This window comes from Homo sapiens, chromosome 18 (assembly GCF_000001405.40).
Source record: "Homo sapiens chromosome 18, GRCh38.p14 Primary Assembly".
Taxonomy (NCBI): Eukaryota; Metazoa; Chordata; class Mammalia; order Primates; family Hominidae; genus Homo; species Homo sapiens.
Window position 1 is genome coordinate 77,398,640 of NC_000018.10, and position 16,086 is coordinate 77,414,725.

At 44.2% G+C, this 16,086-nt stretch overlaps 1 long non-coding RNA gene across 2 annotated transcripts, besides 1 other annotated feature; it reads left to right on the plus strand.

The window, feature by feature from the left end:
• Window positions 4,576-5,775: an enhancer, noted in NCBI's record as "CDK7 strongly-dependent group 2 enhancer chr18:75115171-75116370 (GRCh37/hg19 assembly coordinates)". NCBI's record gives its function as "activates an origin of replication core promoter dependent on BRD2, BRD4, P300/CBP, MED14 and CDK7 cofactors, with strong dependence on CDK7, by STARR-seq in HCT116 cells {active_cell/tissue: HCT116}" and the evidence as "EXISTENCE:reporter gene assay evidence [ECO:0000049][PMID:35650434]".
• Window positions 5,224-15,563, plus strand: LOC107985171 (uncharacterized). Of its 2 annotated transcripts, XR_001753511.2 has the most exons (4): window positions 5,224-5,363; window positions 6,275-6,482; window positions 12,735-13,042; window positions 15,203-15,563. It is a non-coding gene; the product is annotated as an uncharacterized LOC107985171 (long non-coding RNA). The 2 variants fall into 2 exon arrangements; XR_001753510.2 differs by lacking the exon at window positions 15,203-15,563 and having other exon boundaries at window positions 12,735-13,200.
• Window positions 15,564-16,086: the final 523 nt, after the last annotated feature.

Consider the following 16,086-nt stretch of genomic DNA (forward strand, 5'->3'; position numbering starts at 1 on the left):
AAGTCATTTCAACATGCTAAAGTGAAGACTCACTGTCCCAGAGGCTGGGTGGAAAGCCATTCTGCTCATGATGAGAAGTCGTTTCAACATATTAAAGTGAAGTCTTTCTCTAACATAAAAAGTTGCTTGCACAAATGCGTTATTGAGCATTGCCACAGAGGTTGTGGGAAAGTCAGAGACGTCATCTAGAGCTTTTCACTGGTACAAACCCCAGCTGGACTTGCTCTTCCCCACACCTTACATCTTTGTGGTCGACAGCTCCACAAAACTTCTAAATCTCTCTGACTCTGTTTCCCTTTTCTGGGACCTCTCAGCATCTCCCCCTCTTTTTCAGAATATCGTCGTTCTGTCGTAGCTCTTGCAAATAGCAATCCCCTCCTCCAATTAATATTTCATTGTGTATAAAACACACTATTTCCTTAAATTGGGGTTCAGCCACTATAGATATCACCTGTTACAATGCTTTCGGCCTTGCAGGCTCTAGATTCTAGAATATTAACACTCACGGGATAAATTCTTGGGGTTCTTAGCCACAGTAAGAATGGCTTCATCAAACGGATTGGAATACTAAAAAAAAAATCCTAGCTTAGGCTTCCTCAGCTCTGGAAAATATTATACTTTAACGTCCGTGGCCCCGTGAGCCTCTGGCCGCCCCCTCCAGGACTCAGTGCTGGCAGCCTCTTTCTGCATGAATGCAGCATTTCCTAGTGTGCAGTGGATCAACTTGGGGTGAATTGTGGCAGTCTTGGGAGACATCTTGTGTTTTAAGATTATTTGTCCATCTTTTCTCTCAGGTGTTGATTTCATAATTTAACCTTTACAAGGTGATGGCATTTTCCTCATCATCAAGTTCTGGTGAGGCTTCACATGGTAACCACCTAACTGCAATGCCTTTGAGCCAATAACAATCAAGGCCAACAATAGCAAGCTGGTTTAAGAAAAAAATCAGTGCAATCCCTGATTATAGGCTGTCTGGGCAGAGGCAGATTTATAAAACGTGGAAAGCGTGATCTTACTCAGAATTGACAGTACCAGCCAGCCTTCCTTTTGCCATGATTCCTGTGTTTTATTTAGAAGGGGCTGGCGCACAGACCCATTCTGAGACCCTGATGACAGCTGAGGACTCTCTCCTGGGAAAAAAGCACAAGCTCCCTCTGCTGCCTCCACATGGACACACACACACAAACATATACACTCACACACATACACACAGAGATACACACATACCTCCAGTGCACACTCATGCATCCACAGGCACTCATACACACTCACACACACACACACACAGAGACACAAACATACATATAGAGATACACACATACCAACATCACACATCCACATCCACAGGCACTCTAACACACACACACAGACACATATATACAAATACACACAGAGACACATATATACATACAATACACACTCACACGTATCCACAGACACTGTCACACACAGATACACACACATACCCAGAGACACACACAAACATGCACATACACACAGAGATACACACATACCAACAACACACACACACATCCCCACGCATTCTAACACACATACACTCACACAGACACACACATATATACATATACACGCAGAGACACATATATACATACAACACACACACATATCCACAGACACACACACACACAGACACACTGATATACACAGATACACACATACAACATACACATGTATCCACAGGCACTCACACACATACACTCTCACACACTCATACACACACACCCCTATACACAGAGATACACACATACCTACAACACACACTCACATGTATCTGCAGGCACTCTAACACATAAATACACAGACACACACATATTTACATATACACACAGACACATACATACATATAACACACACAGGTATCCACAGGCACACATGGGCACACGCACATATACATGGAGACACACACTTGTACAATGCATGTTCACACACATTCACAGGCACTCACACACACACACACACACACATTACTGCAGGTACCTTCACGGGCTCACGAACCCCTTTGGTCTGTCCAGGAATCACAGCGTTCAGAACCCCTGCTGGGAATGAGGGCAGGTAACCTGAAAAGTGATGCCCAGGGCACCTGCTTAGTGACCTAGGGTCGCCCATCCCACAAGCACTGAGTGCTCACCGCCTAGGAGGCAGCATGAGAGGTATAAGCAGGACTGTCCAGGTCACTGACTGTGGGATTTACTCCTGTGAGTGTGTGTGTGTGTGTGTGTGTGTGTGTGTATAAAAAATATATATAATATAAAAATATAATATATATATAAAATATATATATAAAATATATATAAATATATAATTTATATACATTTAAAGTCAAGGTCATAACTGGCAAGTGCAGGAGTTATGAAACTTTTGAAACTCTTTAGTTTCAAGAGCTTATGATGTATAAATAGTACACGACAGAAACAATGTCACATTCAGTCTCAATTATAGATGTTTCATTTTTTAGTATATTTTTAGAATTTGAGGATTAGGAAACAGATGGGCAGATTTTAAAGCTTTTTGGAGGAGATGATTTAGTTATCAGAACATAACTAGTAAATTAGTAATGGGAACATTCTGTGTGACATGAGCTAAACCTATTTTTTTGAATTTTAACTGCAGTTCTAAGGGGGCCCACCCCTTCCATTTCTTATGAACGTCTGGATGGTTGCTGGCTCTGGTGCTGCGCAGCTGCAATGGGGGGCGGGTGGAAGCAGAGGTAAAATCCCTTACACAGGCCCGGCACGGTGGCTCACGCCTGTAATAGCAGACCTTTGGGAAGCTGAGGCAGGTGGATCACGAGGTCAGGAGTTCAAGACCAGCATGGCCAAGATGGTGAAATCCCGTCTCTACTAAAAATGCAAAAATTAGTTGGGAGTGGTGAGCAGGTGCCTGCAATTCCAGCTACTCAGGAGGCGGAGGCAGGAGAATCACTTGAACCCGGGAGGCGGAGTTGCAGTGAGCTGAGATCATGCCACTGCACTCCAGCCTGGGCGACAGAGTAAGACTCTGTCTCAAAACAAAGCAAAACAAAAAATACACCTCACATATGCAGCTTCCCCCTCCCAATATCTGGTCAGGCTTGATGCTTTATCCATGGACAATTCAGACTCAGTGCGCATTATGTATTATTTGAAATCGATGTAATGACATCTGTGCTTATTGGCTGAAGTACACGAATCTTTCATGAGTAAAAATAGCTCTTCCCTATTCCACTCTCGCAATGGGAAAAAGGTGCCCCTCCTACCCTCAGGTAGTTGGCCGTTGGCCTCTCACCTGCACCCAGACCTCTCAGGCCCTCACGGCCCAGCCTGCAGCAAATGTTGGCAAAGACTGTAAATGTGTTTTCTCCAGCGAGATTTTGTTATATAATCTCTTCATTACTTTCGCGCATGAACTATAAACCACTTGTAATCAACTATGTGCTGCGAACAGTCAGTGATATTGTTTCCTTTCAGTCATTAAGAAACATGTGAGATATTATCATGCTGTATATAGAGCCCTGGAGAATTTGAATTAATTCTCTTGCATTTTTCTTCCCACCATGAGACTTAGAGCATCATCTCTTAAGTGGTTGCTTTCTGTTTTCAGATGTGTATCTGAACAATTATTTTTTTCAATTTCTCTAGAGACCAAAACAAGGTTTTGAAGATCCTACAGAGGGGATGATGTTAGTACCTGCAACCCTTGCTGCAATTCTGCAAAGAATTGGGCACTAGGAATTCTTTTCCACAGTCTTACCACATTCACACAATTCTCATTTTGCACAAGTTTTCATAATGCAAGTAAAATTAAAAGGTCCATTAGAGCATAGGGTGTGCATTGCAGAGATGGCGATGGTTTGCAATGCGGCCTCGTAACATGTGATGAGGTGTTGGAGCTAAGAAGTTGCTGCTCCTTAAAACAGGAGTCAGAGTCATTCTGTTTGAGTGCTCACTGTGAACTGAGGAACGGATTATTTGTGAAGGTGGACTTTATGCATCAGAATGTGAGCTGTCTTGGTGCATGTTCCCTGTACACTTGAGAGGATAGGAAGGACGTGTATTCTGCTGTTGCTGGATGGCATATTCTATATGGCATATTCTGGATGGCAGAGTCTATATGGATATTCTCGATGGCATATTCTGCTGTTGCAGGATGGCATATTCTATAAATGTCAATTACATCAAGTTGATTGACTGATAGTTTGGGTCATCTATATCTTTACTGATTTTGTTCCATATAATGCTGGAAGTCTAGCCAGAGCAATTAGGCAAGAGAAAGACATAAAGGGTATCCAAATTGGAGAGGAAGAAGTCAAATTAGCCTTGTTTACAGACCACGTGATCTTATATTTAGAAGAACTTAAAGATTCCACCCAAATAAAGCCTGTTAGAACTGATAAGCATATGACACAAAACCAGAATCAATAAATTTCTAGGCCACCAAACGAACTTTTCAACCCGTGTTGCAGCTCCGATGCAGAAAGGGCACAGAGGTAGACACTCCCTGCATGACAACAAGAGAAGGTGGGAAACTGAGATCAATGACTTTCCTTACACCCATCAAACAGCCGAGCTTGCAAAACAAACTGCCACCCCAAATCTGAAGAAACAGGAGGATCCAACTAAATGTGGCACCAGAGGTTTGCTTCCCTGGAGTGGAAGTCCCTGAATGGTGCGTGGTAGGACCTCATGCTGGGCTGTGGCTTTGACGAAGGTCTCAGGCTGGAGAATGGATTAGCGGAGAGCAAATGGCTCCTCCGGGCTGCGCCATGGGTGGCCTGGGGCTCACATTCAGGGGCTCACCTTGCAGAAACCCCACCAGGTTCTCACATCAAGGACCCAGGAAAAAGCCCCTCATGACTGTGAGAGAGGGAGGGGAGAGATACCCTTCTATGTATCACAGACCTACCCTCCAAGGGAGACTCACCCATCTAGAGGACACGCAGAAACAGCACCCTCCTGGAGAAAGGGCCCCACTCAGCCTGCCCTGGCCTTGCTGGAGGTGGGGCTTTTCGGGAAAAGAACGAGGAGGCTGAAGACAGGAAAGCCAGCGGGTGGGGAGGCTGGGACCCTGGGGGAGGGGTGGGAACATTGTGAAGGCCACACCCCAAGCCCTGGGGCCCTGTATTGGGTCTTTGTTGCATTGCTATAAAGAAATACCTGAGACTGGGTGATTTATAAAGGAGAGAAATTCGACTGGCTCATGGTTCTGCAGGCCGTACAGGAAGCCTGGTGCTGGCAGATCTGCTTCTAGGGAGTTCTCAGGAAGCTTCTGGTCATGGTGGAAGGCAATGCGGAGCCAGCGAGTCACATGATGAGACCCCGAGCAAGAAAGAGAGGCCGGGAGGTGCCACACTCTACAACAACCAGGTAAGACGGCACCAAGCCATGAGGGATCCATCCTCGTGACCCAAACGCCTCCCTCCAGGCCCCACCTCCAGCACTGGGGATCACAATTTCACATGAGATTTTGGTGGGACATATATCCAAACCATATCAGGACCTAAGAGATGGAGACTTCATCAGAAAAGGATACACCCCTTCTGCCCGCCCCAGCCCCCACCTTACGGTGACACCAGCACGTTCAGTCTAACAGCAGCAGAGTCCAGCTGAAGGCGCTGCCGGTGGCACCTCTCAAAACAAGGAAAGGGTAACCTGTTACCTTGAGGGCTGGCATTGTTCCAGAGGTGGGGGTCCTGCCTCCCAGGCCACCCTGCCGAGCAGAGGTTGCAGCTGGCCCTGGGGACACGCACATGCGTGAAGAATAAGCCTGCATGTGGCATGCCGCCGACATGGGGGCATCTTTAATATTTTGTCTAATAATGTATAAAAACTCCTTTACTACTGACACTCCTGCAGAAAAGGAGAAACTTATTACTGTGACTTAGAAACATGTTGGGTAAAACGTTATCCACCGAATCATTTTTATGAGTTGATCTTGAGAGCACTGAGTGTCTTAGAAAGAGAACTCTGGCAGAGAAGAACTACTATACTGGAGAGCGATGAAAAAAATCTGTTTCAAAATGTTCTTACACTTGGTTTCTGCATTGGTTCATACACTGTTTCTTTTAGGTCAGAAACTTCCGTGCGTCATCTTGAAATAAAGGTTTAGATTCCACGGCATTTTCATATTTTAATAAATATCAGTGACGTACAAGAACTGAGCATGGATAATTAAAACACATTTCACTTTTACTTTTTACTGAAATATTATATATTGCCAAAAACATAAATATTGTAAGTTTATAGCTCAATGATTCAATGATTTCTTTTTTTAACAGAACGTGCCTGTGTAATCAGAACCCAGAAAAGGGAAAAGAGCATTCTTCACCACACAGAAGTCCTGGTGACAGTCTTTCTAGTTATCGGCCCACTGCAAGGGTAACCCTATCCAAACTGCGTTGATTAGGTTTTCATATTTCATAGAAATGGATTCATACACTACTTGCTCTTTTGTGTCTGGATTTTTCATCATGCAACATTATTTCTGTGAGTTTAATCTGTGTTGTTATATGTACCCGTAGTTTTCTTTCTTCTTTTCTAATGCTGTGTACTTTTTTTTTTTTTTTTTTGATATGGAGCCTCGCTCTGTTCCCCAGGCTGGAGTGCAATTGCTCAGTCTCGGCTCACTGCAACCTCCGCCTCCCAGTTTCTAGCAATTCTCTGACTCAGCCTCCTGAGTAGCTGGAATTACAGGCGCCCGCCACACGCCCGGCTAATTTTTGTAGTTTTAGTAGAGATGGGATTTCACCTTCTTGGCCAGGCTGGTCTTGAACTCCTGACCTCGTGATCCACCCGCCCCGGCCCTCCAAAGTGCTGGGATTACAGGCATGAGGCTGTGTAGTATTTTACTTTGTGCTAATTATAATTTACTTATTCTACTGGTGATGGACATTTAGGTAGTTCCAGTTCTATTTTTTGAGTTACTACAAAAGAGTGCTATTGTGAACATTATTGTATGTGACTTTTGGTGAACATATGTAGGCATCTTCACTGGTTATGTGCCTAAGCATCTAATGTTGGCCACAGGGCATTCAGATATTCAACTTTAGTATATGCAGGCAAACAATTCTACAAAGAACTTGCATCAGTTTAAACTCTCCCAGCAGTGCATGAGAATTCCAGTTTCTCCATATGCCTGCCGACACTTGAAGTTCTTTGACTTTTTTATTTTGGCCATTCTTATGAGTGTATAGTGGTGTCACTTTATGGATTTAATTTACATTTTCTTTTTAAAAATTCTGGTTGACAAATAATAATCATATATATTTATGGGATACGCTATGTGTTTTGTTATATGTATCCACTGTAGAAAGAGTAAAGCAAGCCAATTAACATACCTATCACCTCACTTATCATTTTTTGTGATGAGTGTGTTTAGAAGCTACCCTTTAGCCATCTTGTAAAATGCAATACATTTTTATTAACTATGGTCAGCACGCTGTGCAATAGATTACAAAAACATATTCCTCTTTCCTCTTTGTCTAAGAGAAACTTGGTGCCCTTTGGCTAACCATTCCCCTTCTCCTGCCCTTGAAGATGGATAAAGCTGTGCACCTTTTAATATTTCATTGACCATTTGTTGTCATCTTTTTTGAAGTCAGTTCAGTTTTTAAAAATTCATTTTTCTCATATTTATCTATTTTTCCTCATTCAGTTAAGGGGTATCTCATGTATTTACGATACAAATCCTTTTCTGGAAATGTGTATTGCAAACATATTCTCCTACACTTGGTTACTTTTTCAGTCACTTTTTCATTTGTTGTTTTGCTGGCAGTGTTGTCTAAATTCTCGCCACTATCACTCTTTTGAAATTACTACAGCTTTATAGTAAGTCTTGATATCCCTTTTATAAAATTGAGCAAGATTTATTCTGAGATATACTCACAAGAGTGGGGGTGTTTGACATAAGGCATATTCATATATACTTTCTCCAATACATCATATGGTTCTTCAGAATATCTATAGGAATTGTTGCATTATCAACATTCTACTCCTAGAATGAGACTTTTATCTTATTAGTACTGTTTCTTCTAGGCAATGGGTAATCTGGGACTGCAAATATTTTAAAAAAAATTAAAGACAAACACATAAAGATTGTGTACCATTCGTATGGATTGATGAGTTTTTCATACCATCTGTCTCATCTTTATTCTCTGGGACACTGACAATTTTATCCTGTTTCCCAGAACAGGAGAAGCATCGCACCTGTAGTCATTCCTAGGAGTGGGGCTTAAGATGATGCTTTTCCGTTTTAAAACAAGTAGCAGCAATACCCCCTAGGAGGCCAACTATGCTTTCATTCATCTATTTGTTAACGTAGCAAGTATTTATTAAACATCTGCTGTTGCCAATACATCAGTGAACAAAATGAGTAACATCTCTGCCCTCCATGGAGCTCACTTGTAGTAGTTGGAGACAAGCAATAACAATGAATATTAATTAATTACACATTTTGAAGCAGGAGCTAACAAATTTGATGAAAGATAGGATACAGAAGATGAGGAAAAGAGGATTCAACGATGAGGCTATGGTGACTGGTCTGATGATGCAGCTGCCATTGACTGATATGGGGAAAATGAGAGGAAAAGCAAATTTGGATTTCAAGTGTTTATGTAGAGATGCCTGCTAGACAGCAGATAAAACACTTTGAGTAGATACACGGATGTGTGAGACCGGAGTCCAGGAGGGTGTTGTGGGGAGGAGACGCACCTTTGTGAGCACCATGCTGTAGACCTATTCAGAGCCGTGGACCTCATGCTATCAACAGAGGAGTGAGGGTATCGAGAGAAGACGATAAATTCAGAACACATGCTCTGGGGCACTGCAAACTTTACAATATGGAGAGATAAAGAAAAACCAGCAAAAATAATTGAGAATCAGGAACGAGTGAGGTAAGAGAAAATCAAGGAGACTGTTGCATCCCGGAAACCAAATAGAAAAGTGTTTCCAGGAGGATGTGATTGGCTCAGAAAAAGCCACTGAGATAACAATAAGCAGGACGTATCATTGGGTTGAGAGGATGACTTGTAAACTCCATGAAGGCAGTGCAATTCCGAAGACAAGGGAAGAGAACTGGAGAAAGTGGGTTAGAAAACTCTCAGGGGTGACACTTTTCTTGAGGAAAAGCATAGAAAAAATGATGACATCTGCAGGGGTTATAGAATCAAAAGGATTTTTGAGAAGGTGGAAAAAGTTAAACGACATTTGTAAGCTGATGCACACGACCCAGGATAAAGGGAAAACAGGTGAGGCCCATGGGAAGGCAGAGTTTCTGGAAGAAAGTCCTTGTGTTCTAGCGCCCACATGAGGGAGTTGAATTTAAATGGGTGCATGACTGCGTCCTAAAGAATGAAAAGAGAGAAAGCGAGAATAAGGTAACAGCTGCAGATGAGTCAATTGGACAGTGGGAGATTGAAGATGTTTTCGAGTGTATGAACCAATCTTTTTTTTTTTTTTTTTTTTTTGTGATAGAGTCTCCCTCTTGTTGCACAGGCTGGAGTGCAGTGGTGCAATCTTGGCTCCCTGCAACTGCGCCTCCCAAGTTCAAGCGATTCTCTTGCCTCAGCCTCCTGAGTAGCTGGGATTACAGACGCCTGCCACCAAGCCCAGCTAATTTTTGTACTTTTAGTAGAGACTGGGTTTTGTCAATTTTCTTAATAAAATACCAGCTACAGGAACCAGCTGAGAGTGACAATGAGGAAAGAGGTGTTGGAAGTAGATAGTCTTCAAATGCGGGCGATTTTGCTCCCCTTGGGACATTGGGCAGTGTCTGGAGACATTTGTGGTTGTACAACTTGGGGAAGAAAAAATGATACTGGCCTTGGGTGAGCAGAGGCCAGAGATGCGTTTCAATATCCCACAACGCACAGGGCAGCCCGCACAGCAGGGCCCCTGGGACAAAGTGCCAACAACGCCGAGGTGGGGAGGCCACACTACGAAAGAGTGATGGAGTGTCGTGTGTTGCCATACAATGCTGAGGGCACATCTGAAATCGGTGATCAGAGATTGAAGTGAGTTCACTTAGCCAGGCGACATGCTTTTCTCCTGATTTGTTTAGCAATGCGAAAGTCGTGTAGAGCAATAGAGTTGGGGCCCGGACAGCGGGAAGGAGGTAAAAAGGCCATGGGTGGAGTTGAGCATCTGAGCGAGGGAATGACGGCCATGGCAAGTCAGCTGGGGATGGAGGGAAGTGAGGATGGCGGAGGGAGGGGGCAGCGCAAAGGTTTTAGGATAAACTGTGGGGCTCAGGGGACCAAATCACTAAGGAAGCCGGGGCACTGGACACACCGAGGTGTGGAGTATTTACTGGGATGTAGTTTTTAGCAACTCCATCGTCATGGGAACCAGTGGTGGAGTTAGCCTAGGGGAAAGGCTGTCAAAAGAGAATAAATAAAAAATGCCAGGATTTTGGAAGGATCATGTACATTGACGTGAAAATCACAGATTATGGCAGAAATGGTGTGGGGAGTGGCAGTGACAGGAGCTCATTCTAGGATTGGCAGAGACCTGGCCTGGGAGCAGCAGACAATTACCATGAGAAAGCGGGGGAGGTGGGTATGACGGTTAACCTTGAGGGTCTTCAGAACAGAGAAAAGCTGTAACATCTAGAAGTGGAAAAAGGGGCTATGAGGACCTCTACTCCTCCTACCGGCTCGAGAGCACCAGGGTAGGGGGAGAGGGACAGTGAGGACCCTTACTGCATCCACCCCTGGCGAAGGCAATGAAGCAGCTGTCTTGGGGAAGACCCTGCTTCACTTATAGCAAGAAAGTGCAGGGCGTTTAGAGAGAAATGTCATGAGGTAGGATATTGCTGTGGATGATGTGGTCTGCCGAGGACACAACGGACAGGCCTAGGAACCAGGAACGTTGGGCAGAGGCATGAGAAAGGGAGGTGCTTGGATGGTTTGGGGAGGCGAGTCTGGGGAATGAGGAATCGGGACTCCCGAGCTTCTTGGAGAGTTCTATCAACAGGACTACACAGTAAAATACAATTATTCCAGAGGGACTCAAGGCAAGTGGTGCTGGTGAAGCACTGAGGGAGGTGGGGAACTAGAGGAGGGGTCTTTCCTGGAGTATTCGGAGGTCTGGGGTTACTCACTTCCTTATTCCTGCCGTTGGTGTGGAAGCAGGTGTATGATGGTCCTGTCCCAAGCATCTAGCACTGAGCTGTGTAGACCTGGGGTTTCTCCCTTAGTTAATGGGCCATTTTGGTTGAGGTTTGTGAATCTCTGCAAAGCAGAGCTGCATGAACATTTGGTGTTCTAACTCTAACACCAGAAAACAAGGGAGAAAGTGAATATCTCTATTAGAGGCATTGTAAACACGGGCAAGAAATGCCACATTTGAGTTGAGTCTGCTGACATTTATTTCAGATGTAAGTATTCCCAGCAGGCTCAAAACAGGCCGATGAATCTTTCACCTGCTTCATTAACCTGAGAGGGGCATCAGAATGATCTAACAAAACAACTGCACAATGAGAAATATTTTCTTCATAGTGATTGAAAATGGAGGATGTCCCTTAGTCCAGGTGGGTTCAGCTGGGACAGTAGTTGGCTGTGCACCAGGAGCACGTTCCACACTCTTGGCTGTCTGTTTCTCACAACAAGAAGTCTAAGCCTAGGAGTCATTGATTTGTGGCTTTCCAATTAGACTGCCTAAGTTCAGAATGTTTAACCACAGGTGCATCAGACTTTTTTTTTTTTTCTTAAATACAGTGTCTTGTTCTGTCACTCAGGCTGGAGTATAGTAGTGAAATCTCAGCTCACTGCAGCCTTGACCTCCTGGGCTGAAGCAATCCTTGTGCCTCAGCCTCCTGAGTAGTTGGGACCACAGGTGTGAGCCATGACATTTGGCTTTCAAAAAATTTCTTTATAGAGATGAGGGTCTCACGATGTTGCCCAAGCTGGTCTGGAACTTCTGGGTTTAAGCAATCCTTTCACCTCAGCCTCCCAAAGTGCTGGGATTATAGGCCTGAGTCACTGCACCAGCCAGACATAAATTTCTTATCCGGATTTGATGGCCTTAGCAGCTCTAAATAAAAATAAAATTGTAAATATTGGTTTGTTGTTCTTCCTAGGGAGCCAATATCTTCATGTAATGCTCTGAGTGCTGTGAGATGCTCCCTGAGTACACAACAGCCATTTCTACCACCTCTTCTCATGTCCAGTCATGCAAGTCTCCAAAGACAAGGTCACTAGTTGCCTGTGGCTGCTGTGACAAACACCACAACCTGGGGAGTTTAAAACCCCAGAAATCCATGCTGTCGCGGTTCTGGAACCAGAGATCTAAAGTGCAGGGTCAGCAGGGCTGTGTTCGCTCTGAAGGGTCTTGGGAAGGACTTCGTCTCATAGCTGCCGGTGGCTCCCGGCAATCTATGCTTTTCCTTGCTTGCAGCCACATCCCCCAACCTCTGCCAGCCTTCACATGTGTTTTCCACTTTTTAAATTTTTTATAAGGACACCAGTCGGATTGGATTTAGGGCCCATCATAGTCCAGTGTGAACTCACTTAGCTGCAAAGACCCTGTTTCTAAATAAGGTCACATTCCGAGGTTCCAGTGGTACCTGGATTTTTGTGGGACACTATGTGATCCAGCACAGACAGTTTCAATTGATGCCATTATTTAAGTCATTCAAGATCCCAAAGAGAAGCTCAGTTTCTTTCTCTCCATTTTGAAGTCTTGGAATTTCCTTCCATTTTATTTTAATGTCCACTCATGTATTTTTCCTGCCCTCCTCAGCAACCTGGAGCTGTGCGGACTGAGACTGAGATGCATCGCTGAAACTCTCTTTAGGTGTTCCCTACCATTTCTTCTTGGAAAAGAAGGTTTTACCTCCTGGGATTTTTGAGAACCTCTAACTTCTCCATTGGGGACCATCTCCAGGTACCACCAAAAAAGAGCACAACAGCAGCCTTGCGGATAAGTCCTGGTCTGGAGTCAGCCACCGCTGCACACACCACTCAGAGCTGCATCATCGGGTTACCCCTGGAAAGGCTGCCCACACACCCACATCCAGGGGTGTCTCGTCACTGCTGACGACTAGCACGGTGAATGTTCTGCTTCGTGGAGAGACTATCAGAGCTGGAATATCCATAGGCTTATAATCTTCATGAATACTTCCTCTCTCAATTGCCGTGAAATAATATGGCTCCTCAGTCCATGAAGCTGGCATCAATAACTGAAATAGGCTCGGAAAAGTCCGGGCAAGAGGCAAGGAAGACACTAAGCCTTGAATGTTTACTTGCATGCTACCTTTACCCTCACCTGCAAGGTCAGGGGCATCCAGAGGCCTGGTTTTCTTCTGGCTTCCCTTGTGGTCATTTTGTCCCACCAGAGCTGAAACCCTTCCCTGCTTTCCCCAGAGCCAGGCAGTAAGGGCACACCTGCATTGGCTCCATGTTACTCAGGGGGATCCAGCGTTATTTCCCCGCAGCTCAGGTGGCAAGGGTAAAATCGCTTCTAAATATTTGTTCTCGCTTGTGATTTTATATTTGTCATATGCTCAACAGAGCCTGGATGGATCCAGTTCTAATTTCTTTTACTTTTTTTTTTTTTGAGACAGAGTCTTGCTCTGTTGCCCAAGCTGGAGTGCAGTGGCACCATCTCGGCTCACTGCAACCTCTGCCTCCCAGGTTCAAGCGAGTCTTCTGCCTCAGCCTCCAGAGTAGCTGGGACTACAGGCGCCTGCCACCACGCCTGGCTAATTTTTGTATTTTTAGTAGAGATGGGGTTTCACTACGTTGGCCAGGCTGGTCTCAAACTCCTGACCTCATGATCCATCTGCCTCGGCCTCCCAAAGTGCTGGGATTACAGGCGTGAGCCACCGCGCCTGGCCTCTTTTACGTTTTTAAAGGTTAAAAATATAATATGCATTCTGAAAAGTTTATACATCATAAAGTGTAGAGCTCGATGAAATGTATGAACTGAAGACAACCATGCAACCAACATCCAGATCAAGACCCTGGAATCCCCTCAAGCCCCTTCCAGTCACAGCCACCCCCGTGTGTGGCCATATCTTAATTTCCAAGAGCTTTCTGCCCATTTCTGTACTTTATGTAGTTAGAGTCATGCAACATGCGCTTTGTCTATGTCTGGCCTCTTGAGCATAGCATCACCTTCATGAGATGCACCTGCATAATCGTTTACACTGTGGGCTGCTCGTTCTCATTGCTGCAGAGTTTTATTCCATTGTGTCAGTATGCAACACTGGTTTTTTAATGATCTTAAAGCAGCTTCACCTAACAATGTGTGGCATTATGTGGAAACCTCACATACTGTTCTCATGTGTGATTTTCCATAAACACAGATTCATCTAGTTAGTTCTTCTCACTAGTCACATTCTCACATAGTGCTAAAAGTTAGCAGGAGTTGCTGACATTTCATGGAGCACAATAAAAAATCGGCTCTGCTTCCTTATGTCTATTTGGGAGTGTGCATATCACATGTTTGCAATGGCGAATTCCTGTTTTGCAAAGCATTGTTATTGCAGCCTCAACCAGTCTTAAGAGGTGTCAGCAAAAGAATAGACATTGCAAGCTTCCTTGATAATCTCTAAAGTGAACAAAGTCATTCTCTAAAGATCTTTGAAAAAAAAATTTAGTCATTTAATTTTATGACTAGAGGACCACCTAACATATAATCCAAAAATACATAAATTAAATTCCCATAGACAAAACCACAAAGATTAACAAAAATGTGCTAGCTTTGAGTTCTCCATTCAAACTCTGCCTTAACCTTTTATAGCCTAGGAAGTTCCTGAAGATAAAGCTATTTGGATTCATTTACCTGGGATTTTCTTATAGGGGCAGCAAATTTCACGGAAGGGCAGATAGTAAATATTTTCGGCTTTCTGGATGCTGAGAAACCAGGTCCTCTAAACTTTGAGCAAATCTTCTCCATCAAAGATGAATAGCTTTGTTCTATTTTGTTTATATTTTACATAGCTTGGGGACGGTACCAAAGAGGCAGAAGATGGAATTGTTCTGTGGTTCCACTTCACTGAGCCTGCTGGAGGATGATGGTTAGAAGGATTCCCTCCCTCTGTGGCTTCTGGGGTGTTTTAACCCAAACTGACATTCATTACAGCAGCATCAGGAACCGTCTGCCGAACCCTGGGGTGGCGGGTGGGGTGGGGAGGCAGTGGCTGTTGCTGATAGGGATCAAGAGTGAGGCTGAACACCTGTTTCTCCATTCTGCTCTCCCTCTAGGAACCTGAAAGCTCAGCATGAGATGAAGTGGCTGGAGGCACGTGAGTCCTGCACTGATAGAGGCCGGTTCTGTCAAGCCTCACCTGGATGATGTGTGTGACTCTTCCCATAGAAAGGAGCAGGCTCTCTCATGAAGCCTCCATTCTAGCATTTTGTGATCATCTATGACCTTAGAGGGGTCCTCTATAACCCTGAGTCCCAAACAGGTGAATACAGAGTGGGCTCACACTTATTTCTCCATTATTCCTGTGTTCTTTCAGGAGGCTGACCATCAAACCTACTTAGAAGTCAGACCTTGAATGTAAGTACATGTTGTTCATTATCTATATCTTTTGCATGACAGAATGTCAGTTATAGGATAAATAACAGAGGGTAGGCTGTGTACCAAGTCATGGTGACAACAATACAAAGCAAGGCTGGGCGCGGTGGCTCATGCCTGTAATCCCAGCACTTTGGGAGGCTGAGGAGGGTGGTTCACGAGGTCAGGAGTTCGAGACCAGCCTGGCCAACATGGCGGAACCCCATGTCTACTAAAAATAGAAAAATTAGCCAGGCGTGGGTCACATGACTGTAGTCCCAGCTACTCAGGAGGCTGAGGCAGGGGAATTGCTTGAACTTGGGAGGCTAAGATTGCAGTGAGCCGAGATTGCACCACTGCACTCCAGCCTGGGTGACAAAGCGAGATTCCATCTAAAATTAATAATAATAATAATAATAATAATAATAATAATAATAATGCAAAGCAAGTGCTGAGTGTCAAGTGATGTAATTTTTGAGACAGTCATGATCCTGATTTCTCAGTGTCCTTTTTGTTTCCAGGATTACAATATGAACCACTGATTTCACCATTACTAATAAATATAATTATATATTCATGTTCATAA